The 27,254-nt window shown below is 45.2% G+C and overlaps 1 protein-coding gene across 10 annotated transcripts in view, besides 1 other annotated feature; it reads right to left on the reverse strand.

The window, feature by feature from the left end:
* The window catches only part of MYOF (myoferlin), a 175,906-nt gene that overhangs the window by 91,115 nt on the left and 57,537 nt on the right, over positions 1 to 27,254 (reverse strand). For all 10 annotated transcript variants that reach the window (XM_047425049.1, NM_133337.3, XM_005269694.6 and 7 more), the window contains 8 exons: positions 12,030 to 12,196; positions 11,244 to 11,372; positions 6,614 to 6,676; positions 6,480 to 6,530; positions 5,317 to 5,347; positions 4,689 to 4,804; positions 3,875 to 4,001; positions 1,849 to 1,952 (listed from right to left, as the gene is read on the reverse strand). In XM_047425049.1, the coding sequence (XP_047281005.1) occupies positions 1,849 to 1,952; positions 3,875 to 4,001; positions 4,689 to 4,804; positions 5,317 to 5,347; positions 6,480 to 6,530; positions 6,614 to 6,676; positions 11,244 to 11,372; positions 12,030 to 12,196 (788 nt within the window). The remainder of the gene's footprint in view (positions 1 to 1,848; positions 1,953 to 3,874; positions 4,002 to 4,688; positions 4,805 to 5,316; positions 5,348 to 6,479; positions 6,531 to 6,613; positions 6,677 to 11,243; positions 11,373 to 12,029; positions 12,197 to 27,254) is intronic.
* Positions 9,163 to 9,662: an enhancer, noted in NCBI's record as "H3K27ac hESC enhancer chr10:95166463-95166962 (GRCh37/hg19 assembly coordinates)". NCBI's record gives its function as "activates a minimal SCP1, AML or CMV promoter by ChIP-STARR-seq in primed H9 embryonic stem cells {active_cell/tissue: H9 hESC(primed)}" and the evidence as "EXISTENCE:reporter gene assay evidence [ECO:0000049][PMID:30033119]".

Below are 27,254 nucleotides of genomic sequence, written 5' to 3' on the forward strand. Positions count from 1 at the left end.
GCAGTTTACTTATATACTTAGGAACCTGGTTAAACTTTATTTTTCTTGATGATTTGTAAAATATGACATGGGTTTAATATTAATCATTGCTGTTTCGAGGCACTAGGAGCTTGCTTTTAACCTTTTTTTAATTAGTTTTCAATTGTCAGGCTTCTAACATTAGATTAATGTAAAAAAGCAAGAGATAAGGTTGATAGAGCATTTGTTACATACCGTTTGGGAAGCATCTACCATTAACACATCCAGACAGATCTTTTGACCCTGCCCGCCAGCCTCCCTGCCCTCTACCCCAAACTGACTCTTGTTCCAGTCTTTCCATCGCTCTTCATTCAGGTGGTCAGGCTCAGAACCAGAATCAGCCACACCCTGACACTTCCGTCTTCAAGCAGATCCTGGAATGTCTTCAAGCTGATCCTGAAATGTTTCTCCCCAGGACACCTGCGGTTGTCTATCTGAACTCCACACCCTCTCTTGCCTCCTGACTTTCATGTCACTTCTGTGTAACATCTTCAGGGGGCCCTCAAAGTACACTTCAAATAAAGCCCCAATCCTTCCCTGGGCTGATGAAGCCCTACTGTCCCAACCCTACTTCTCACTGACCTCCTAGTTTTCCCCGCTTGCTGGCTCTACCGCAGCCACATGGGCAGGCCTTCCCTGCTAACATTTTCTTCCTTGGGGCCCTTCCATCGCCCTTCTCCCTGCCTGGATGCCTCCCTCCCCAATCTCTGCATATCCAGGCCTCTGCTCAACTGTCACTTTCTCCAGGAGTCTCACCTGATAACCTGGATAAACACTCCTCCCCTGCACCAATCACTTCTTGTCCCTGCTTTGTTTTCTTTGTAGCACTGGGCACCATTTAAAATTATTCAGTTTCTTGTTTGCTTGTTTATTGTCTGTCTCTTCTATTCCCATGTGTTCGTTTCTATATCCCAGCACATGGGACAGAATCTGGTACTTAATGACTTTTTGAATGAATCAAACCTCTCAACAATCCTGTGATTGTTATTATCTCCCTTTATAGTTCAGGAAATGGAAACTCAGAGGGTAAACGATTTGCCTGCCTATGAAGTGGGGTAAAGCCTGAATTTAATTCAGGCCTCATTTTGCCCCAGAGCTGAAGGCTTTTCTACCACACCCACTGAATCTTTTAGAAAAAAGCACCAGTCATATGTGTATGTGTATGTGGTTTGCCGAATCTTGCTTTCATAATTATATGGTTCGAACACATAAAAGATGCTAGTTCTTTTTGTCTATAACTGTCCATGATGTGCTATTATTCTACTGTAGAATCTCACCCAACTCTCAACTCTCCAATCTTTGACCATCTCTGTAGGTAAAAGTGGTGGTTATAGCTGTCCCTACACCAAGAGTCTCCCAGATATTTTCAGGGGAGTGGGATGGGGCTTCCCTGACCCATTCTCTGGTTTCAACAGTTTACTGGGGCATGGAAGGTGAGAAACATGACAGGAAGGGGCAACAGGGCACTGGGGGGGGGTCTCTGTCCTACAACATTTACCAGGGATGGGTGTGGCTGGCCAGAGAGCTTGCCTAAGGTTAAGATAACGTTTGGACCTGAAAAGCAATTCCAGAAATTCAGTGGTAGCCTTCCCTATTTTAATCTCTCAAAAGATTGAATTTTCTAATTTGTGTTCTGCATACTTTCCACTCCAAAATAAACCTGTGGAGAAGTCTGGCGTGTTCAGACTCAGATAATCTGTGTTCCCTCAGAGTGCCTGGCTCATCAGGGGGCTATTTTAACAAAGAGTAAGCAGGAATTCACTCCAAGGAAAGCACAGTAGTTTTAGATATTTATTACTAGCAGCATCTGCATTTAGATCATGTACAAACCTTTTTTCCAGCAAAGGAAACTTCTACAAAAGGATCCACGAGATTTTTCTTATCTGCATTGCCTCCAAATATTTCCTTTACTGTCTGTGAGAAGGCATCATCCACTGGAAGGTAATAGTTATACAGCAGAAATTAAATTCAATTCCCAGAAATTTGGCAAAATTTTAAAAGTTCTCTTATACATCAAAATAGTTGCAACAGGCTAGGCGCAGTGGCTCATGCCTGTAATCCCAGGACTTTGAGAGGCCAAGGCTGGTGGATCATGAGGTCAGAAGAGCAAGGCCATCCTGGTCAACATGGTGAAACCCCTTCTCTATTGAAAATACAAAAATTAGCTGGGTGTGGTGGCACGCGCCTGTAATCCCAGCTACTCGGGAGGCTGAGGCAGGAGAACTGCTTGAACCTGGGAGGCGGAGATTGCAGTGAGCCAAGATCACACCACTGCAGTCCAGCCTGGTGACAGAGCAAGACTCCATCTCAAAACAAACAAACAAAATTAGCCAGGTGTGGTGGCACATGCCTGTAATCCCGGCCACTTGGGAGGCTGAGGCATGAGAATCACTTGAATCTTGCAGTTAGCCAAGATCAAGCCAGTATATGCCAGCCTCCAGCCTAGGTGACAGAGTGAGGCTCTATCTCAAAATAAAATAAAATAAAACAAAAACTTGATCTTTTATGGAGGAAAAAAAATACAACAAAGTTCATTCAGTGAGAGTAAAAGATGATTCTCAAACTCAGGCCTGCTTTCAATTGGGAGAAAGGTGCTCTAGGTCAAAATGATATAGTCCTAGTCTGTTTCAGAGAAATTCAAGAAAATTTGACATAATCACAAATAATATATTTAATCAACTACAATCTATAGTTAAGCTAAAAAGTAAATAGAGATCAGGATTTTAATTTACCTTATTTTATGTATTTCTTTCTTCTTCTTCTTCTTCTTTTTTTTTTTTTTAAATAGAGACAGTAGTCTTGCTATGTTGCCCAGGCTGGTCTTGAACTTTTGGCCTCAAGCAGTGCTCCTACCTTGGCCTTCCAAAGTGCTGGGATTATAGGCATGACCCACTGCCTCCAGCCCATTTGACACATTTTTGAGAGAAAGGTGGGTATGGGGAGGCCCTACAATACTATCTTTTAAGACCATAGGATCTTAAAAGAGGAAAAGGATTCCCAAGAAAAGCAGCAAATCCTGAAGAGATCCATGGCCTGTATAGTGAGTGCAGCCTCCTGGGGACTTGGAGAAGGGTCCCATGTCCCAGAGCCCAGCAGGAACCAGACAGGCCCAGCAAGGCAAATAGGAGGCTGGGCCATCAGCAGTGACAGAGGGATAACCACACTAGTTCCTATAAATGGAATCACTAGAAGCGATCCCTTAAATGCAACCAGTCTCTTGCTGAATATATTTCATAATACAATAGTGGCAGACTTCTAGTCATTGGGACATTACTACCCTTTGCTCAGCATGTTTTTTTTTTTTTTTTTTTTTTTGAGATGGAGTCTCACTCTGTTGCCCAGGCTGGAGTGCAGTGGTGTGGCTCACGGCAACCTCCGCCTCCTGGGTTCAAGTGATTCTCATGCCTCAGCCTCCCAGGTAGCTGGGATTATAGGCACCCGCCACCATGCCCAGCTAATTTCTGCTATTTTTTTTTTATAGCTGGATAGCAAACACCTTGATTTGATAATAACAGTTCACATTTTCATTTGGGATAAAAGGGGTTGGAAGTGCTGACTGCTCATATCTCTTTAGCATCCTCTAGAATAAAGAGAAGATATAGAATAGCAAGAGAGAGAGTCAAATGGGCCAAAGGCAGGTACTCAACAAGGAACATGATCAGCAACCAACTAGCTGTGCCATGAGCCTGCTCAGGTAGCTTTCAACTGGGCCAGAATGAATGAAAATAAGCCCATGAAGCCCTTTCAGAAGAAAAACATACGATAGGGACACGAATCACTATTAAAGTTTGATTTTTAACACATTTCATCACACACATAATCAACAATTCTGGGGCAAGATTAAATCAGTACATACTCTGGGGGATGTCCTCAGCTCGGTAGATTTTCAGCAAGAAGGTCACCCACCGGAGGGCAATGCCAGCAGGGAGTAACAAATTACTCTCCACATCATCACTGTCATTATCACGATCTCGTCTCTCAGGCTATTAGGGGCACATGATTTAAATTATACATACAGAAAAGCAGCACTTGGAAAAAGCCAAATTAATGCTTATAAAATGAAACCATTCAGAATCGTTTCCATTAAGATTTCCTGTGTTTGGGGCTTAAGAGTTCAGCCTGCCATCAGCCACCAGTTTTCCTTCAACCTCAAAACTGCTCCACAAAATCAATGCTCATGTTTTTGTATCATTCTGTCATTTTATGAGCACCAAATAGTAAGAGCCTGTGCGTGTGTGTGTGTGTGTGTGTGTGTGTGTGTGTGTGTGTGATCCTGATGTCCCTTCAACTTCTCTCTGGCCACTTATATTCTGCAGTTTGCCACCCAGTTTCCTAGAATAATCACTAACTATTTAGGTAGCAATGCCTAATTCTGCAAGTAGGTCATGCTTTCTAGATAAAAGCAGTCTTTCTAATGAGGCAAGGACGTTGTAAAAACACATTCATCGATTCTCAATTAAATGCTCACTCATAGACATCAGATAAGAGTTTAAGTAAGCTAGAACAATAATTCCATGATGAAGAAAAGAACAGCTTCTGAAGAATAGGGGGAATCTGAGGGTATTGACGGGAAGCTGTGCTCCATTTCACAATTACCCATGCCCACATGCTTAACTCTTGGCCTTCTTTTTTAGTGAGAAGTGTAGAAAGTAGAGAATGTAGGGACTCACAGGAGGCTCATCTCCGGTTCCCAGGACAAACATGCTGACTTTCATATAACCTTTAGAACCTGAACTGGTATCTTCCGGGTCATTGAGAAGAAGCCACTTTCTCATGACAGCATGGCCTAAAATAGAGAAGGAGTAAAAGGAAATGGACATGCTAAAAAGGTACTGATAAGTCTGTGATTCCTCTGCCATAAGATAAGCTGCATTTTCTTGGAAGCCTCTTCACGACACACCAAATTCCCCAGATGAGTGTCCACTTTCACGTCTTCTGTTTTGTACTCTCCCTACACCCCACCCCCACCATTCTGTCCTCGTGTAACTCAAACAAGACTCTCTAAGTTGTACCAACGAGTTTTATAATTTAATTTTGATAAGATCAAAATATCCTCACAAAACATAGAAATCATCTATTTTGAATGTTAAGATAAAAAATTAGACATTTTTTCTAAGCTACTGTTATTTATTCCCACTAAGTATCCTCTCCTCTCCCTCATTAAGAAAATATTTTTTAAAAAATTCCTTTAACTTTAATTCTTTGATCCCCCCCAAATTGTCTTGATTCTTAGAATCATCTTCAGAGTTAGAAGGAATGAATTTAAGACTTCATATTGATGGGGAGAACATTACTTACCAGGTTCATCATAAACAAATCCAACATCAATCTGGGAAAACAATAATCGAAAGTAGTCTAAGTAGATTTTAAAATCAGTCTAGTCACTTTAAAGAAGCCATCATTATATTTAAATATCATGTCTTGATTACACTTAAATTTCCTTGAGACCCAACATTTCCGTCTTATCCTCTCTGTATCCCCAGTGCCTTGTCTGATGTGTGGCACATGGAAGACCCTCAGTAAGTCACTATTGAATGAATGAGCTAGTCTTAGGGCTGGAAGGGACCACAGAAGCAGAGTGACCAATATGACCCAGTTTGCCTGGGTTATCCTCAGTTTTACCACTAAAGTCCCAGGCAAAGTGGGACCATTGGTCATCCTACAGAAATTCACCTGGCCCAATTTCCTGTCCAGTTCTCCTCCTCCTCCTCCTTCTCCTCCAGCTAATGCTACTATTAATATAACCATTGACTGGGCACTTCAATGTGCCAGGTGCTGTACTAGGTGCTTTACACATACTATCTCATTTAATTTTCTCAATGATCCCATTTTACAGATGAAGAAACTAAGGATCAGAGAGATTGAGTTCCTCTGGGACATGTGGCTACTTGGTGGCAGACAGGGTATGAACACAGGTCTGCCTGACCCAGATCATCCTCTAGGACTTCTAGTGACTGGTGCTCCTTTCTTGGAGAGGCAGCCTATTCCATGTAGAATTGCTGGGAAGAAGCCAACCAAGTATTTGTCCTTTCATTCCAGTGAGAGCTACTTATAGAAGCACCCTGAACCTCTTGCCTTGTTTGGCTTTCCTTTCACACTCTGAATTTACCATAATTGGCTTTGCAGATGGAGCTTTGGGGCCCCCAGTAAGTGGAGGTAGATGGTGGACTTCTTGCCATGGTCAACACCCCTTCCCTTTGTGGCAGTGGATTTGCTTCCATCCAGATACAACCCTGGGAAGGGCCCTGATATGGCAGCTTCAGGGCATCTTGCTTTGAGAGCTCTGTTCACTGTTATACTTTGGAAATAGACAAGCCCCAAGCAGCCTTCAGCAAGTGTCATCATGCTGAACCCTTACACATTCCCAAGATGCCACCAAGATGCGTACATAGGAATCAGATTTCTATTATGAAAGTTCTCATCTTTCTGTAAGTTGAATGAAGCAGACTGTTGTCACTCACCTTAAATTCCCCCATCAGACAATCTGCCCGCAGAGAGTGAGAATTATAAACCTGGAAGAAAGAAGAGTAGTGAAGAAATGATTGGCTTTGCCTGGCAGTGAGTGAGCAGTACCTTCCTACTTGCTGACCCTTACCCGGATGCTGATGATCTCATCCATCAATTCAGAAGGGGTCATGTTGACATTGTAGAAAAACAACTGCCAAAACAATAGAGCAGATGTTTAAATGTTAACAGGGGATTCGGGTTAGGGGAATCTGATACTATAATTTTGGGGGCCCTCCTAAAAAATGCAAAACACAAATTCAAAATTAGGTTTGACCATGTGAACACATGGCAAGGCCTGGAGTTTAAGCCCTGCAGTTTAAGCTTCATGGTAAACCCACTTCTTCATGTTGGAAAAAGGAGAAAAGGGTAAGTAACAAATATAGCATTTACTTAACTAAAGAAAATTGTTCACCTGGGGCTAGATATCTAAAAGCTAAATAATGTAAAGATCCAAAGCTAAGCAGGTATCGGGGTACACCCCTGTAATCCCAACACTCAGTAGGCTGAGATGGGAGGAGTGCTTGAGCCCAGGAGTTCAAGACCAGCCAGGACAATATAGTGAGAGGCCATCTCAAAAAAAAAAAAAAAAAAAAAGGGAAAAAGATCCAAGGTGACTTCATGCTGCAATGCTTATCAAAATGAGCGCTTAGAGCTGGCATGACCTGGAGTGTGTTTTAAATTTCTCTAATATCTTTAGCTCTATTAGTGTCTAGTGACTCTAATTTTACTCCAAGAAAGCACCTTTCAAGACAATTTTGCCCATTAGATTAAGTTAGTGCCTCAGCAAAGTCAATATTGACCACATTGTAAAAGCTAATTTTAAGAAGGTTGATTCTTGGGATATGAATATTAGGTATATAGGAGGTTTAACCATGTTAGGCTAATAAATGTTAATCCTAAAAGATTGAACACTTACTCCAACTGAGACTTTTTCCTCCAACTTTTTACTTAGGAATATTTCTAATCTACAGGACAGCTGAAAGAATGGTAAAATAAATACCACCTTTCACCTATGTTCACCAATTGTTCCATTTTTGGACATTTGCTTTATCTCTTTTTTAAACTGAACTATTTGCAAGAAAGCTTTAGAGATCATGACACTTCACCCCTTCAAAATACATTTACATGCATCTCCTAAGAGCAAGGACATCCTCCTATAGAATTGCAACACCATTATCATAACCAAGAAATTTAACATCTAACAGAGTCAATTTTCAAATTTCTCCAATCATCCCTACAAAAAAACTTTAGCTTTTCAAAGAAATCTAGGATCTATGCAAGAATCATACGTTGCATTTCGTTTTTGAGTCTCTTCAGCTTCCAAAAGGAAGCTATATAAAAATATAGAACAGTGCTATTTCCTTTTTTGTTTCTTGTGTTTTTTCTTGCCTTTTGTTCTTCTTTAAATAGAGATGAAGTTTCACTATGTTGCTCGGGCTGGTCTTGAACTACAGGCCTCAAGTGATCCTCCTGGCTTGGCCTCCCAAAGTACTGGGATTACAGGCGTGAGCCACCATGCCCGTTGTTTTGTAGAATATCCCACAGTCTAGATTTGTGTGAATGTTTCCTCACTGTCGGATGCAAATTGGCCATTTGACAAGACTTGACACAGGTGATGTTGATTACTTCCATTATCTCACATGAGGACACCACATCATTTTTGTTCCTATTATTGGTGATAACAAGTTTAATATTACTTGGTTAAAAAGATATATACAGGCTAGGATTTTTTTTTTTTTTTTTTTTTTTGACGGAGTCTCTCTCTGTTGCCCAGGCTGGAGTGCAGTGGCACGATCTTGGCTCACTGTAACCTCCGCCTCCAGGCTTTAAGCAATTCTCCTGCCTCAACCTCCCGAGTAGCTGGGATTACAGCCACCCATCACCATGCCAGGCTAATTTTTTGTTGTGAGACAGAGTCTCGCTCTGTCACCCAGGCTGGAGTGCAGTGGCCCAATCTTGGCTCACTGCAACCTCCGCCTCCCAGGTTCAAGCAATTCTCCTACCTCAGCCTCCTGAGTAGCTGGGACTACAGGTGTGTGCCACCACACCCGGCTAATTGTTTGTATTTTTAGTAGAGACGGGGTTTCACCATGTTGTCCAGGCTGGTCTTGAACTCCTGATCTCCAATGATCTACCCACCTCGGCCTCCCAAAGTGCCAGTATTACAGGCGTGAGCCACCACGCCTGGCCAGGCTAGAAATTTTTTTAGTAAACCTCTTTTATATATATATATATATATATATATATATTTGTTTTTATCATCTTACTTTTGTTTCTCCTATCCCGTAAAATTTTTTTATCGATTAATGTACTGGACTTCTCTTTTGCCAAGAGGTCTAATCCCCCTCAAACTCATTAAAATGGGAAAATTCTGAGGAAGGTGGAGATGTTTGCTGGGCTCCTGGGAATGCAGCTGAGTCAACAGGAAGCCTGCATTATCAATGCATAGACAGGGTTTACGCGTTAGGCCCAAGTAATCCAGCATCTTGCCTCCTCCCCACCCATCCAGTCTTGCCCTCCAACGTGAATCTCTCTGCCTTCCCTGAAGTCCATTTCCAGTGCCCCATCTCTGTGCAGCCCCTACCTCTCATGAGAATGTGTATACTACTGTACTTGGCTGCCTGCTGTCGTCTGCGATTCCTTTGAGGGGAGAGGTTAGAGGTTAGAGGTGAGAAGAAAATAGGACCTTCTGCAGAGCTGGAAGCCAGTTTGAACGAAGAGGAAGAAATAGAAACGCGGCATAGAAGAAATCATTTCTTTTCTGAATAAAGAAGTAGGAAAAAAAAAAGGACAAACGCCAGAGCTGGGATTAGAGCCGTAGGGAATGAAGAGGTAGTGTGGTAAGACAGGCCTGGGCTGGAGAACAGAGCAGGAGACATAGGCCTGAGGAATCCCAGAAATGTGTCTCCTCAGCACAGTTGGCCAAGACTCTGAAAAGTTCCCTAAATATATCATTTCTCCCCACAGCCCAGTCATGGAGTTTTGTGGCATTTGAGATGATTGTCAAGGTATCATGTATTTTTGAGGAGTGTTATAAAAGAGGGCAGTAGAACAGGCTAAGTTCTCAGTATGGGAGGCAGGGCGCAGTGGCTCATGCCTGTAATCCCAGCACTTTGGGAGGCCAAGGTAGGTGGAACACCTGAGGCCAGGAGTTTGAGACCAGCCTGGGAAACATGGCAAAACCCCATCTTTACTAAAAATACAAATATTAGCTGAGCGTGGTGGTGTGTGCCTGTAGTCCCAGCTACTTGCGAGGCTGAGGTGAGAGAGGATTGCCTTAGCCTGGGAGGTGGAGGTTGCAATGAGCTGAGATTGCACCACCACACTCCAGCCTTGGCAACAGAGACTCTGTCTCAAAAAAAAAAAAAAAAAAAAAAAAAGGCCGGGTGTGGTGGCTCACGCCTGTAATCCCAGCACTATGGGAGGCCGAGGTGGGTGGATGACGAGGTCAAGAGATCGAGACCATCCTGGCCAACATGGTGAAACCCCGTCTCTACTAAAAATACAAAAAAAAAAAAAATTAGCTGGGCGTGGTGGCGGGCGCCTGTAGTCCCAGCTACTCGGGAGGCTGAGGCAGGAGAATGGCGTGAACCCAAGAGGCAGAGCTTGCAGTAAGCCAACATCACGCCACTGCACTCCAGCCTGGGCGACAGAGCCAGACTCTGTCTCAAAAAAAAAAAAAAAAAAAAATTTATCAGTATGGGGGGCAAAACAAACAAAGCCCCTGTGTGCTAATAACTGCTTTCCTTTAACATATATTATTTTTGCAGCCAAGTACGTTTTGACACCTCTAAAAAACTGGATTAGTCACGAGAGTTGTCCCTCAGAGACACCCTGCTAATTAGAATAAGCAAAGGTAGATTTAGGAGACATCATGTCCTCTCTCATAAGGGTCGAAGGGATCATCAAGAAGTTATCACAAAAACACCAGAAAGGCAACAGCATCTCTGAGAACCACTGACAGAGGGGACCAGGTAATTTTCCTTTTTTTAAAGGCATCTCACTATATTGCCCAGGCTGGTCTTGAAAATCTGGGCTCAAGCACTCCTCCCGTCTCAGCCTCTTGAGTGTTGGGATTACAGGTGTGTACCCCCATACCTGCTTAGCCTTGGATCTTCACATCATTTAGCTTTTAGATATCTAAAAGCTAGATATCTTTTAGATTGTCCCAAGTGAACAATTTTATTTAAATAAATGCTGGCCGGGCGCGGTGGCTCATGCCTGTAATCCCAGCACTTTGTTGGCGGGTGGATCACTTGAGTTCAGGAGTTCGAGACCAGACTGACCAACATAGTGAAACCTCTACTGAAAATATAAAATTAGCCAGGTGTGGTGGTGCATGCCTGTAATCCCAGCGACTTGGGAGGCTGAGGCAGAAGAATCACTTGAACCCCGGAGGTGGAGGTTGCAGTGAGCCGAGATCACGCCACTGCACTCCAGCCTGGGCAACAAGAGCGAAATTCCATCTCAAAAAAAAAAAAAAGCTATATTTGTTACTTACCTATTTCTCCTTTTCCAATAGCAGAAGTGGGTTTACCATGAAGCTTAAACTCCAGGGCTTTTTCCAAGACCCTGCCATGCGTTCACATGGTCACACCTAGTTTTGTTCCTGTGATCTCTACTTGGAACTCAGTGGTGTCTTCACCAGTGAAGCTGCTCCCGTGTTTCCCTCCCCAGTGGGACTCATGAGCAGAAACATGCCCTCTCAACCCCTTTACCTCATCAAAAAAAGGGTTGTTTCCTCTCTTGATTCTTGTTCGGTGTGTCTGGCCACAGACGTGAACTTTGACCACAGGCCTTATGTTGTTACCACTTAACTGTCGGCCCTCAATCACTCGGACGCGGATCTGCAGCACAGAAGGGGGATGGTTACCCAACCTTTCCCAGCACGTGGGATCCTTAGGATCCTCAGGTGTTGCTTCATTTCCTTCACCTATTAGGATTGCTAACACCAGGCCAGGGCAGCTTTGTGCTATACCAGGTGCTACCAATTGGGTGGAGCCACCTAGGGTCATTCCCAAGATGGGAACTGGGGTTGGGTTATAGAGACCAAGAGCAGCTGTAGGGATGAAATCATTCAAAGCCGGCCTGGGAAAGGGCAGGGCAGGTGGAGGTCACTGCTCAGACTCCAGTCATGCACCTGGTCTTGCTGAGCCTAGTGATGAACTAACTCCATAGCTGCCTTCCAAATCTAAGACAGGGCCCAGAGCTGCGAAAAACACAGTATTTGCGCTTCTATTCTTTGATTAGCTCTTTCCTTCTGCCAAAGGGAAGGAGAATTATAGTTTTATTTCTCTGGAGACCATCAGCTGGCTAGACTAAACCCACTTGTGCCTGCAGAAGAAAGATGGAGAGCTTTTCTTACTGGGTTTATACACTGACATCTCTCTTTACCGGTTGAGCCATTGTCCATTGGAATAGGTCCACTGAAACATCACTGCAATTGCCAGAAGATGGGCAATATAAAGATTAAACAAAGAAGCAGAACGCCAGGCCGTTGCTACCTGGAAGTCCTGTGGCTTATTTGACAGCATCCGCCGGCTGTTCTTTACTTTGGTGAGCCTCCGAGCAAGCTGAGCTTCCGACACCGTCCCAACTGGCCCCTTGGGCCCAGGGCCCCTGACTGCATTGTCCAACCTGTCTTCATCACCTTCATCTTCTTCCCCATCTCCTAAAATATCAGAAAGAAACCCAGTGAGGGATAGCCCTTATCCTGTAAATGTCCAAAGGCTCAGGTTTCCAGGACACGGTTTTGTCTGCCATTATGTTTTAAGTGTTCCTAAAGTGGCAGGTGAAGGAGATCCTCTTGGTGACACTGACTTGGGACTTCTTGTGACTTGGAAAAATTCTTTAGGAAAATGTGTTCACAGTACATCGGGGCTGTTGCTCAGGTTGCCTTCGAAGAGACCAAGAGAATGGCAGAGATCACAGGGACAATGAGAGGAGATGGCACCGTTGGACCCAGCCAGGGATTGCTGAGTTCTCATTAGTGTTAGGATGGAAAAAGGAAGAAACATCACGGAACACTGCAGTCTTGCAATGACAAGCTTCAACTCCATCCCTCCCACTGCAGATCTTCTCTCTAGAGATCTGCTCGTGATCTATTTGTACTGTTTCCTGCTTGAGCCTCCTAATTCACAACTGCTCTTTCCACCCTAATGGCAGAAGAGAAACTCTCCTCATTTTCTTGCCAAGCACCAAGGTGATCATCTTGCTCTTCCTTCCTCCTCCTGGTTTGTCACTTTAACACACACGTGTCCCCTCCTTTATCCCTCTACCTTCCCTCTGCACTCAGGAAAAGGTTTACCCTGCTCAGCAGAGTGAAAATCTCAACCCTCTGCCATGCATTAGATCCTGCTACCTCCTGAATATTTGCAGATCCTACTACCTCCTGATTATTTTCAGGCTCCCCAAATGTCTCCTCTCTCTTGTGTACCTCTGGGGGTTCCGTCTCTATTGCAGCTTTTCCTCTGCCTTCAAGTAGACACAGATCTTTCTCTCCCTACAAAACCAAAAACCAAAAATCAACTCTGCCTACTACCTCTCCTCTTTCTTTTATTCACGAGCTCTTTGAAACTCGCTGACAAACTTTAGCTTTTCTTTTCTTAATACACAAAGAGTTAGAACTTCTGGTAATCTGTACAATATAATCTAAGAGAGCCTAGAAGACAAGCCACCCTGTCTAGAACCCTGCTTTTGGATTCTGAAACTCCTTCTCTACGATGCAAGATTATGAAAGAGATTTAATTTCCAAGGACAGTCACCTGTCAGTCATTCACATCCTGGTATGAATGAGTTTCATCAGATTACTATGTAGCATAGCTCTTGAAATCTTGGGCTCTGAAGCCACGTGGCCTAGGCTCAATCCACTCCCCACCCTCCACTTTCGAGCTATGTGAGTCTGAGTAAGTTTCTTAATTTCTCTAAGCTTCAGTTTCTTCATTTGTAAAGAGGGGAAAATAATAGTATTTACCACAGGGTTACTGTAAAGGTGTAATTATCTATAGGCGAAGCCTTTAGCACAGTATCTGGCATACAGAAGCACCCAATAAATTAACTGTTTATTTTTTAGTTTTGCTGTGTAATCAGTTTTGGTTGGTGTCTTCACCTGCTTGGGCTGCTATAACAAAATACCACAACCTGGGTGGCTTTTAGAAAACAGAAATTTATTTCTCACAGTTCTGGAGGTGGGGAAGTCCAAGATCAAGGCACCGGCGGATTCAGTGTCTGGTGAGGGCCCACTTCTTGGTTTGCAGTTGGAGCCTTCTCTGCCTCCCATGATGGAAGAAGCAAAGGAGCTCCCTTGAGCCCATTTTGATCACGGCACTAATCCCATGCATGAGGGCTCTGGCCCCGTGACCTAATCACCTCCCTAAAGGCCTCACTGCCTAATATCATCACGTTCAGGGTTAGGATTTCAATGTGTGAATTGTGGAGGGACACAACCATTCAGACCACTGCAATTGGAAGGGGCTTCTTCTGGAGCACAGGACACTTCCTGGAACCAGCTATGGGGGGTGTGGGGATGGGGCACTGGAGCAGTCCATGGGCAGCACAGCAGGCAGGGGTCCCAAAGTGAGGAAGAGGCAGCCACAAGGGAAAAGGGGGCCTCCACATGCACTGCTTTGCAATTTAGCCCAGGGTGGGCCCTGCTCCTCATCATCCATTCATTCATGCTTCGCCCATCCTAGCCTGGCTTCTGTTCTTCAAAAGTCAATCACCTCTCTTTGCCAAGCTCCGTGCCCTTTTCTGTATCTCCATATTGGATCTTCCACAGCCTTGGACACCAGTGCTCATATACATATTTTTAGATCATTGCAGCTCTCCTCCCCCGATCTGCTTTTTCAGGTTCTTCTGTGGGCCCCTGTTTTTGTCTCCTACTCACTGAGTGTGACTCCCTACTCTGTCCTCTGATCCTTTGACTCAACACTCTGTAGATCCTCACTTCACACTTCCTTCAAGTAGCCATGGACCCACAGAATGTTGTCCTAGAAGGGACCTTAGAGATCCTTGATCCAACCTACCCTTCACCCCATTTTACAGACAGAAAAACTGAGGTCCAGAAAGCTAAGGCAACTTGCCTGTGGTTAAGTTATTAGAAGCTGAGCTAAAACCAGGACCAAGTTTTCACACTGCCTCTCTGGTATAAAACTGGGTTTAAAACCAGGCTGTAGGTGAAGGACATGTTATGCTCCTAGTACCTCAACATCTTTTTCAGGCTACTGGGAAAACCTCATGGAAGTCAAAGATAAGGAATCTTTGTCCTCTGCAAGATGATCTGGACCTCCTCTTGCCTATTCTTGAAGAGACTTCAAAAGAAGGGCTTACCTGCTGTCTCTCTTAGGGCACCTGGATCCAAGCTCTTGGAATCTTCTTCATCCTACTCTCTACCAGGTAAGTTCCTCTCCTTCTTAAGTTTCAGATGAAACTTACTGTCTTCCAACATGCCCTCCCCACCTCTTCCAGATGGAGTTAGTCCCGCTCTCTCCTACCCGCCACACATTGTTCTTTCTAGTCCTCACCACATAGTCTTGCACCTGCTTGTCAACCCATAGGCTTCCCCTACTCCCAGGCATTTCAGAAGCAAGGAGCTTGCCTTTGCTTCTTTGTTTCTGCCCCATGCCTTACAGAACTCATTACACAAAGTATATAGAAAGTGCTTGATAAATGTGGAATGAGTAAACAAATGGGAAGGGGAACAGGATCCCAGGCACAAATGTGCCTTCACATTTGGAAAAACTACTGAACAACTCTCAGGAAAGAACACCCAGATGGCTGAAGGGGTGCTCCTCCCAACCTTGGCACCAGCCTCGGGGAAGCACTGGGGGCCAGGCGCTTCCCCTCGGTAAACCTGTCCTGGACCGAGCAATGGCTGGGGCTGACAGCTGTTGGGTTCCTCCAAGCAGCGAAGACGAACTTCCTTCCATCATCCTGGGCCTAAGTGGTACTTCCTCCTTGCCATAATTATAGCATTTTAGGCTGGTGATTTGTACTTCCTCCTTGCCATAATTACAGCATTTTAGGCTGGTGATTGTTTATGGCAGTAAGCAGGAGAAAAAGTCGGGGTCAATCATACCCCTTTGCAATGCTGGACTCTGGACAAGTACTTATTACATTCTCAGTGGATGCTCTAGAATCAGCCTGCAGATAACAAAGAACGTCTTCTGCTATTCAGACTTTAGGCTAAAGGGATGGGTCAGAGGAAACCAGCCTAAGCCATGGTGACAGCCAGCCTCTGTGCCTTGCAGCAGAAGAATATTCAAGCAGGAAACCTCCCCTTTATGTGGCAGGAAGCTGCAGAGGATTAAACAATGGTACGGGCTCCACAAAGAATGCTATGGGTTCCACAAAGAATGAGGGGGCCCCTATGGCACTGTTAAACACACCCTGATGTGCAAGCTGTGTCATGAGTGAAATGCTAGCAGTTGTGCTGGCAGGCCCTGTTCGTGAGACCCAGGCCTGAATGTGATCCACAGCCAAGTGGATCTACAAAGAGCAACTCTTTCACAACCACAGAGGGCCACACCAAGTCAGGAATCACCCACTGAACAGGAAGCTGCTGGTTGTATTAGCTTCTGAAGGCTGTCGCAGGAAGTCCCACAAACTGGGTGACTTAAAACAATAGAAATGTATTCTCTGGCTAGGCGCAGGGGCTCACACCTCTAATCCCAGTACTTTGGGAGGCCGAAGCAGGAGGATCGCTTGAGCCCAAGAGTTTGAGACCAGCCTGGGCAACATAGGGAGACCCCCCATCTCTACAAAAAAAATTTAAAAACTAGCCGGGTGTGGTGGTGCACACCTGTAGTCTGAGCTATTCGGGAGGCTAAGATGGGAGGACCATCTGAGCCCAGGAGGTCGAGGCTGCAGTGAGCCATGATCATGCCCTTGCACTCTGTCCTGGGTGACAGAGCAAGGAAAGAAAAAGAAAGGTAAGAAAAAGAAAAGAAAAGAAAGAAATGTATTCCCCGACAGTTCCAAACCTTACAAGTATAAAATCAAGATGTTGGCAGAGACGTTCTCTCTCTGAAGCCTCGAGGGAAAAATCCTTCCTGTCTCTTCCTAGCCAGTGGCTCCCGGCAATCCTGAGCATGCCCTGCCTGTGGCTGCATAACTCCAGTCTCTGCCTCTGTGTGGTCACACAGCCTTTCTCCTTCTGTGTCCTCCCGTCTTCTCATAAGAACAAGTGGGCCAGGTTTGGCGGCTCACACCTGTAAACCCAGCACTTTGGGAGGCTGAGGCGGGTGGATCACCTGAGGCCAGGAGTTCAAGACCAGCCTGGTCAACATGGCAAAGCCCCGTTTCTACTAAAAATATTAAAAAATTAGCCAGGTGTGGTGGCGTGCACCTGTGGTCCCAGCTACTTGGGAGGCTGAGGCAGGAGAATCGCTTGAACCTGGAAGGCAGAGGTTGCAGTGAGCTGAGATCATGCCCCTGCACTCCAGCCTGGGCATCAGAGAGAGCCTCTGTCTCAAAAAACAAAACAAACAAACAAGAAACTACAGTCACTGAATTTAGTGTGACTTTATCTTAACTAATTACATCTGCAAAGACCCTGTTTCCAAATAAGGTCATATTCTGAGGTTCCATATAGACATGCATTTTAGAGGGCCACTATTCAGTCCACTAGAGAGGCCATCTTTTTTGTTGTTTTTTGTGGTTTTGTGTTTTTGTTTGTTTGTTTGTTTGTTTTTTTGAGGTGGAGTCTCACTGTGTCATCCAGGCTGGAGTGTAGTGGTACAATTTCAGCTCACTGCAGCCTCTGCTTCCCAGGTTCAAGTGATTCTCCTACCTCAGCCTCCTGAGTAGCTGGGATTACAGGCACCTGCCACCACGCCCTGCTAATTTTTGTATTTTTAGTAGAGACGGGGTTTCGCCATGTTGGCCAGGCTGGCCTCGAACTCCTGACCTCAAGTGATCCACCCTCCTCGGCCTCCCAAAGTGCTGGGATTATAAGCGTGAGCCACCGCGCCTGGCTGAGAGGCCATCTTTTGTATCTTTCCAATTTGCTTCCTCTCTTACTCCAGCCCACAAGCAGCCCCAATCTAATGAGCACACTGCCTTCCCTGCACCCCACTTCCTCCATGTCTTTGCTTTACCCCTACCCCAGGTTAGATCCTGCCACCTAACACTGCAACCACCCCACTGCATGCCCCTCGATCCCTTTCCCCCTCTCACTTCACTGTGCTTACCTGGTTTATTCAACCCTCCACTGACTTCACCTCTGCACCCAGCCAGCTGAACTTGGCTGGGAAGCACACACATCTCACTGGACTGATCTCACTTTAATTTCCTGATCACAAACTGTAAGTGTCCTCACAGGGCTGCCTGGCCATCTTACCACATTTCCAAGATATCTATCCCAAAACTTTCCTGAATCCTGGTCTGAGATGGCCACTAATTAACCAGCACAGTCAAATCACTTTACCTTTCTGAACGGCCACCTGTTTTGCATCTTGAAAGCTTCCAACACCCTTTCTATCTTTCTCATTGTCCACTAATGACCTGGCTTCTTATTTCATTGAGAAAATTGGCAATTAGAAGATAATTTCCACATCTTTCCAACTCCAAATCAATCATCTACCTGTATCTGTTGCCTTCTCTCCTGCTACAATTAGTCACTGAACTATCTGTGCTCCCTGACTTGAAGCCAACTCTTCCGCATTTGCACAGATCCTATCTCCTGTTGCTACTTAAGGAGTTTTGCCTCTTTATACGTTCATCGGTTTCCCCCTTTCTACTGGATCATTCCCATCAAAATATAAACACGCTGAAATATCACCCAGAATATTAAAAAACAAAACTTTCATTGACTCCACGGTGCCCCCTACAGTTACTGCTCCATTTTTCCTGCCCCTCTTGGGAGCAAACTCCTCAGAAGAATCATTTTTACTCACATTCTTCACTCTGTCTCTGATTCTCATGCTTCTTCCAGCCAGCCCTCTGCCCTCCTAGTCCACCAAAACTGCTCTTGTCTAGGCCACTAAAGACTTTCATGTTGCAAAATCCAACGGTCCAGCCTCAGGTCTCTTCTTACTCAAACTTTCTGCAGCATTTGTTCATTTAATCCTTGAAACACTTTCTGCTCTTTGATTCAGCCTATTTGAACCAAAGCGCAGCTGCTCATCCTGGCATTCGCAAACAGAAGTAATCACCAAAGAAACTTCTCTCGGCCGGGCGTCGTGGCTCATGCCTGTAATCCCCACTTTGGGAGGCCAAGGCGGGTGGATCACCTGAGGTCAGGAGTTCAAGACCAGCCTGGCCAACAGGGCAAAACCCCTTCTCTAAAAATAAAATTTAAAAAAAAAATTAGCCAGGTGTGGTGGCAGGCGCCTGTAATCCCAGCTACTCGGGAGGCTGAGGCAGGAGAATCACTTGAGCCCAGAGGCAGAGGTTGCAGTGAGCCGAGATCGCGCCACTGCACTCCAGCCTCGGCAACAGAGCGAGACTCCATCTGAAGAAAAAAGAAAAAGAAAAAGAAACTTCTCTCATCCCATCTTCTTATAATATATGAACCCTGGCTTTGATCAGGCTTTTTTTTTTTTTTTTTGAGACAGAGTCTCACTTTGTCACCCAGGCTGGAGTGCAGTGGCATGACCTTGGCTCACTGCATCCTTCACCTCCTGGGTTCAAGGGATTCTCCAGCCTCAATCTCCCAAGTAGCTGGGACTATAGGCGCACACCACCACGCCTGGCTAATTTTTGTATTTTTAATAGAGACAGAGTTTTGCCATGTTGGCCAGGCTGGTCTTGAACTCCTGACCTCAAGTGATCCACCCACCTCAGTCTCTCAAAGTGCTGGGATTATAGGCGTGAGCCACTGCACCCGGCCATGACCAGGCCATTTTAATAGAATCATAGAACTTCGGAGCTGGAAGAGACCCTACATATTATTAAATCCAACCTCCTGATGTTGTAAGAAAGGAACTTGAGGCTCAGAGAGGTTAAGTGACATGCCTACTGTCACACAGCTTGATAGTGGAGCCAATGCTCAAATCCAGATCTGTTGATTCACAGTGGTTCAAGATTCCTCACTGTCCATCTCCGGCTATGACAAGCTCTTCACAACTCCCTTGTAGGAATGCCATCCTGCCTCTCCAATAATTATAATGTCACTTGGTCAAATCCTACAAAGCTTCTCACTGCATCCAACACTGACCTGTCTCCTTTCTGAATATCAGTAACTGCATGTGATCCACTCTTCTTTACTTGTGATGTTTCCGCTAACATTTGGAAATGGTTCTCCATCATAGCTCCAGCAATGTAATCATTCCTGAGATGTATTGTGATCCTCTTTCCAGACGCTCAGCAGCAATATTCCTGCCAACTGCCCTTGTGTGCAGTCACTTGTGATAATGACACTTGCCTACATGGCATCTGTCCACCCACTCAGTGCTGAAGAGTTGGCAGCCCTAGAGGACCTCGTGATACAGTCAAGTTTGCCTTTGGCATCCCCAACTGTGCCTTTCCCCAGTGCATATCAATGTCCCTTCTTCCTCCAGGCTCCCATACTGTTCTCTAGCACCACTTCTCCCTACCAAGCAGAAGAGAGTGGGATATCAGTCACTCAGATATCAGATGTCACCAGAGCTGCAGGTCATTGTCCCCCCACCTCCATCATCCCACTTTGTCTGCACCTTGCCAGGGAGGGGGATCCCTGTTAGAGCTTCCCAGTGAAGGCAACTCCTAGGAATGGCTGAGGAAAAGGAGCACTTGCTGGTCACCCTGGCTGGACTGGGATCCTCCTGGCTGGAACACAGACCCCACTTCAGCCCCTGGCAGCCCCCTTTATCCAAACATTCTGCCTCTCCTCTCATCTCCTCCCAGGCTCAAACAATCCTCCCACCTCAGCCCCTAGAGTGGCTGAAATTACAGACGTGCATCATCACACCCAGCTAACTATTTTTATTTTTTTGGAGAGATGGAGTCTCATTATGTTGCCCAGGCTAGTCTCAAGTGATCCCAGGCTCAAGTGATCCTCCTGCCTCGGCCTCCCAAAGTCCTGGTATTTCAGGCATGAGCCACGGTGCCTGGCCTCTGCCTTTGATCCTAATTCTGCTTTTCAAGATGAAGTCTTGTTAAGTGGTGGTACTGGTTAAGCCAGAATTTTATCACTTTGAGCCAAAGGTCATTGCCCAAGCACAACAAAGGGCTGATATCATATTATCTTCAGTGTAAGCTAAAAGGACAATGCAGAACAGGAAAGGGTAAGTTTTGAAGCAGGAAAACATGTAATATTTTGGAGATAACACATTTTCTTAGCTGGAATGTAGAATAATTTTTTTCTGAATTTCTAAAATGTTAAAAGTTTTATAAATAAATGTTTGTGTCCTACTGTAAGCAATTCATTACCCCACCCCAATTCCTGGGTAAATAACAATAAATGTGCCCTAAGAATTTTCTAGCATGTTCCAATATGTAGACCAGAGCAAAGGTACCATGGAGGAACCTAAGAAGCAGGGATGCAAATGCAGTCCTGCGGGGCAATTGAGGAATCAGGCTGTGAGCCAGTCTAGATAACAAAGCCCAGAGATCTATGTCTCCCTCTGGACAACATCACGTTCAGCAGGCAAAATGTACGACTGCAGCGTTTCTCAAAGTGAACTCCGAAATCTGCCTGCATCAGGCTCTCCATACAGACTCGGGGCTCCCCTCCAGATGAGCTATATTAAACTCTCTGGAGATGGGCGCCAGATGACTGCACGTTTAGAGATATCCCTTGATGATTTCACTGTGTCTAAATGTTGAGAACCACTTGTTTATGATGAGCACTTTGATTTTCCTAAATATCCTAGAGAAAAATTGGACTAATATAATCAGTTTACTAGACAAAGCCACTTGATTAGAAACCCAATCCTGGAAACAGTGCCTGCAACAATCTTCTGGCACATGGATCATTTTCCAGTTAGGCTCTGACCAAGTCAGTCCCTTGTCATGGAGTACCTTTCATGGAGCCCCATGGTCTTCCCATCAAGGACAAATATCCCAGCCTGGGACCTACTACCCTCAGGAACATGCTTCACTTTCAACACACTTCTGAATGAGCCAGGAGCTTTGGCATATTCACTAGTGTTCCCCAAAATGCCCTTCCTTTTTTCTTCTTTTTATTTTTTTTGAGACGGAGTATTGTTCTATCGCCCAGGCTAGAGTGCCATGGCGCAATCTCGGCTCACTGCAACCTCCGCCTCCTGGGTTCAAGCAGTTCTGCTGTCTCAGCCTCCAGAGTAGCTGGGATTACAGATGCATGCAACCACGCCCGGCTAATTTTTATATTTTCAGTAGAGACAGGGTTTCACCATATTGGTCAGGCTGGTCTCGAACTCCTGACCTCAGGTGATCCACCCACCTTGGCCTCCTGAAGTGCTGGGATTACAGGCATGAGCCACCGTGCCCGGCCCCAAAATGCCCTTCTTAAAAAAAAATTTTTAAACCATATTCAGTGCCCATCTATCATTCACTCACTCATTCATTCACTCAACCAACCAAGCATTTATTAACAATTATGACTTCTCAAGGGCTGTGCTAGGCACCATGAATACAGAGTTGCAATACACAGCTGAAAAAGTACTTTCTGAAAGCAATTGTTTCCTATATAACAATTTGGTCAATCTCTCTGGAGGAATGTATTACATTCAGCTCTGGGCTATAGTTATTCATGTTTATCTCTTACCTTCCTACTGAACTGCAAGCTCCTTGGTGGTAAAACAATGGCTTTCTCACCTCTGTATGTCCCATAGGCAGGTGTCAATAAATATTTTCTGAACTGGATCAAATTTAATTTTAAGGCTGGGCATGGTGGCTCATGCCTGTAATCCCAGCACTTTGGGAGGCCGAGGCTGGCGGATCACCTGAGGTCGGGAGTTCAAGACCAGCTTGGTCAACATGGTGAAACCTCATCTCTACTAAAAATTTAAAAAATTAGCCAGGCGTGGTGGCCGGTGCCTGTAATCCCAGCTACTTGGGAGGCTGAGGCAGGAGAATCCCTTGAACCCAGGAGGTAGAGGTTTCAGTGAGCTGAGATCACTGGGCAACAGAGCAAAAACTCCATTAAAAAAATTAATTTTAAGCAAATGACTTTGGGATTCGTGGAATGAAAGACATTTGAAGCAGTGAAGTCTGGCTATGAATGAGTTTTTGAATGTCTATGTTTGGACAGAGCGCAAATTTAACAGATGGTGCTTCAAAAATAGACGTGAGATTTTAAAAATAGTTTCTTCCAGCTACGGGAATGTAGGCTCCAGTTAAGCAGACTGACATCTGGCGAATTAAGTTGCCATGGTAACAGGTTTTCAGGTCAAGCCTGGAGACTGGGTCAGCCCTCCCCTCTGTCATGGGAACAGTCTTCCAGGGGGGTCAGTGAAAAGAACATCTTTGACAACACACACTTTCAGTCAAGCCACCAGTGCCCTAAGGTCTCTACCTTTTGTCATCTTCATATAAAAGCTCTAAGAAAGAATTCCTTAAAAAAGAAGCCCTCAGGTGTTCACTTCCTGTGATATGTGATCATAGCTAGCTTCTACAAATGGCAGGGGCAAATTTTCCTAAAAATCTTAACTTTTGTATTCCAGCATAAATACTTCTAATTTCTCCTCTGCAGGAGCCACTATGTGGAGAAGAACCTTTAAAATCAATAGCAGAAGTTGCTGGCAGTGGTTATCTCAGGAGGATGGGACGCAGAGATTTTCACTTTCCGTGTCATGTATCTCTGTGACATTTACATTTTATTAAGCAGATATTTCTTTTTTGCTCGAGGAAAGAAAAACAAGCTCAAATTTTAAGAATTTGAAAATATATAAATCAGAAGAAGCAGACATTACTTTTACATAGAATGGTAAAGTTTTAGGGTTTCTTTAAAAGTCAGTTGAAGGGAGGCCGGGTGCAGTGGCTCATGACTGTAATCCCAGCACTTTGGGAGGCCAAGGCAGGTGGATCACTTGAGGTCAGGAGTTCAAGACCAGCCTGGGCAACATGGCAAAACCCTGTCTCTACTAAAAATTAAAAAATTAGCCAGGCATGGTGGCACATGCCTGTAATACCAGCTACTCAGGTGGCTGAGCACAAGAATTGTTTGAACCGGGGAGGTGGAGGTTGCAATGAGCCAAGATTACTCCACTGCGTTCCAGCCTGGGCGACAGACTGAGATTCCACTTCAAAAAAAAGAAAGAAAGAAAGAAAGTTAATTGAAGGGAAAAAAAGCAAATTCTGGGCCAGATGTCCTGCTTATGTCATTAAGGTATGCAATGCCAAGAGGTATGGCTGTCTTGCTGTTCTCTGTCTCATATTTGTTTGTCTTATATTCCCCCAAGATTGTAAGTTGTTTTTTCTCCTGGTGTCTTCCCTAGCAGGGGGTTGCAGTAGGTGCTCAAAGATACCTTTTGCTCAGTTGAACTGAATTACCATGTGATATAATTTGGATATCTGTCCCCTCGAAATCTTATGTTGAAATCTGATCCCCAGTGTTGGAGGTGGGGCCTACTGGAAGGTGTTTGGGTCATGGGGGTGGATCCCTCCTGAAAGGCTTGGTGGCTTCTCCGCAGTAATGAATGAGTTCACCTGAGAGCTGGTTGTTTAAAAGAGAGTGGCACCCTTGCCTTCTCTCTCATTTTCCTCCTCTCTGATCATGTGATGCTGGCTCCCCTTCCCCTTCCCCCATGAGTGGAAGCTTCTTGAAGCGCTCACCAGAAGCAGAGGCTGGCACCATGCTTCTTGTACAGTCTGAAGAACCATGAGCCAAATAAACTTCTTTTCTTTATAACTTACCCAGCCTCAGGTATTCCTTTATAGCAATGCAAACAGACTAAGACACTATGTTAGGGAAAAGAAATGTTTTCCCTTGAAACATCTAGATAGTCGAGGCTATTAGAGGTTTGTTTTTTTTTTTTAAATGCTGAAGGAAAGTTTCTCTTAGCCAGATTAGGAAGCCGACACACAGAATGCCACCTTTGACCGAGCCCCGGCAAACATTCATTTATAGAACAAAGGCAGCACTTCCAGATCAAAGAGCCCGGTTTATTTTTTGTAATAAAGAAATTTCACATTACTTCTCAGACTTTTGGCTAAGATCAAACATAGAAATTTCACTCTGTCATCTTGCATTTAAAAATAAAATTGCCCTGCAGACACAGCTCATTTGCAGACCAACACTTGGTGACCTTCTTTGTTTGAAATCCAAATACAAGGAACCCAAGTTTTGGTTCATTTCCTGTCTTAGCTGAGCAAAGTCAGGGATTCTAAAGAACTTCCGTGGGAGAGCTGGGCTGCGCTTGTGCAGTTCCCTGGTGCTGAGCCCGCTGTGAGCCAGACTCCTAAGGGGATGGTGGACTCCTTCAGTCTACTGTCCTGCTGGGAGCACTGGTGCTACAAACAAAGGCTTAAACCAAGAGGAAAGGAGAAGGAGCCTTGGGTGGCAGGGATTTTCTCGCCAGCAGGTTTAAAAGTTCAATAGTTGGGGCCAGGCGTGGTGGCTCATACCTGTAATCCCAGCACTTTGGGAGGCCAAGGTGGGTATTTCACCTGAAGTCAGGAGTTCGAGACCAGCCTGGCCAATATGGTGAAACCCCAACTCTACTAAAAATACAAAATTAGCCGGGCATAGTGGTGCACACCTGTAATACCAGCTACTTGGGAGGCTGAGGCATGAGAATCACTTGAACCTGGGACACGGAGGGTACAGTAAACAGAGATCATGTCACTGCACTCCGGCCTGGGTGACAAAGCAATATTCCATCTCAAAAAAATAAAATAAAATAAACCCAGCAAGCAATGTTCTTACTTTATAAATACTAACAAATGGTGTGGCGCTGATCTCTTTAAGTTTACTCTTTTTACTTGAATGAACCACAGTATTTTTTTTTTCCTAAAGGCCTGGCAGAAGGGGTAACACAAGAGGACCCATTTAATATTTTGGCTCTTGGAATGGAATCAACATATGAAATTGTCTTTTATCTGCCAGTGTACTGGGTTGAATACTGTCCCCTCAAAATTCATGTCCACTGGAACCTCAGAATGTGATCTTATTTGGAAATAAGGTTTCTGTACAGTTAAGATAAGGTTACGGACCTTAAGAGAAGGTTAGGACTCACCCTAATCCACAGTGACCTTATCTTAACTTGATTCGGGTGGGTCCCAATCCAATGACCAGTGCCTTATAAGAAATTTGGACATGGACACACAGAGAGGGGTCGGGTGCAGTGACTCACACCTGTAATCCCAGCACTTTGGGAGGCCAAGGCAAGCAGATCACTTGAGGTCAGGAGTTCAAGACCAGCCTGACCAACATGGTGAAACTCTATCTCTACTAAAAATACAAAAATTAAGCGGGTGTGGTCGCGGGCGCCTGTAATCCCACCTTCTCGGGAGGCCGAGGCACGAGAATTGTTTGAACCTAGGGGCAGAGGTTGCAATAAGCTGAGACTGCACCACTGCACTCCAGCCTAGATGACAGAGCAAGACTCCATCTGAAAAAAAAAAAAAAAAAAAAAAAAAAAGCCGAGTGCAGTGGTTTACGCCTGTAATCCCAGCACTTTGGGAGGCCAAGGTGGGTGGATCACGAGGTCAGGAGATTGAGACCATCCTGGCTAACACGGTGAAACCCTGTCTCTTCTAAAAATACAAAAAATTAGCTGGACGTGGTGGCGGGCGCCTATAGTCCCAGCTACTCGGGAGGCTGAGGCAGAAGAATGGCGTGAACCCTGGAGGCGGAGCTTGCAGTGAGCCGAGATCGTGCCACTGCACTCCAGCCTGGGCGACAGAGCCAGACTCTGTCTAAAAAAAAAAAAAACAAACCAAAAAATCAAAAACAGACACATAGAGAGGAAGATCCTTGAGCCACTCAGGAGCTATATCCTAGAGGGGAAAAAAGCAACAAAGACACCAAGACACACAGGTAGAACACCATGTGACAGCAGAGGCAGAGACTGGGGTGACGCATCTACAAGCCACAGATGCCAAGGAAGGCGGGCAACCAACAGAAGCTGGGAGAAAGGCTGAGAGGCTCCAGAAGGAACTAGCCCTGCTGACACCTTGATTTCAGACTTTTGATTTCCAGAACTGCGAGAGAATATTTCTGTTGCTTAAGCCACCCAGTTTGCGGTAGTTTAGGACAGCAGACCTAGGAAACTAATAAACAGGGTCTAGCTTAGGAGAAACGACAGTATGAAGAAAGATGCCCTGATCTTTCCAATTCAGAGGCTACTCCAGATAGCCCATCAATGAGGGCTGCCTTGTGCAGGCCAGAAAGCGCCTAGTGCCTTTCCCACACAGATACAAATGCTGGTGACAATAGTCATCGGCAGCGGAGGTCTGAGGGAAATGGGTGGGACCACTCAGTTCTGCCCCTGATGGTGTTACTGGTGCTGGCCTGTGTCCTCTGTGTTTCGTGGTTTTTTGTTTGTTTTTTTTTGTCATCACTGCTGTGGAAGCAAAGGGAGCCATGGATGTTCTTGAGCCACTGCAGCGCTCCCGCAGGGCTGAGTGTCCAAAGCCAAGTAGAATGCTCAGGGTGCCGCTAGGAAGAGGGCGATGGGCAGAGCATGCTGCTGATGTGCTGGGGCCATCTCAGTCTTGTCACCAAGAGGAAGCCACCTAACCCTCACTGGAAACTCACAACTACTTAGTCAAAAAATGGGCCAAAACATTCATAATGGGTGCATAAGCAGGGGCAGGGGCGGAGGTCAGGCTGAGCAAGATGAGAAGTCAGGTGGGACTGGGCAGGACAGGCAGGGAGGGTGCTG

Source organism: Homo sapiens, chromosome 10 (genome assembly GCF_000001405.40).
Source record: "Homo sapiens chromosome 10, GRCh38.p14 Primary Assembly".
NCBI lineage: Eukaryota > Metazoa > Chordata > Mammalia > Primates > Hominidae > Homo > Homo sapiens.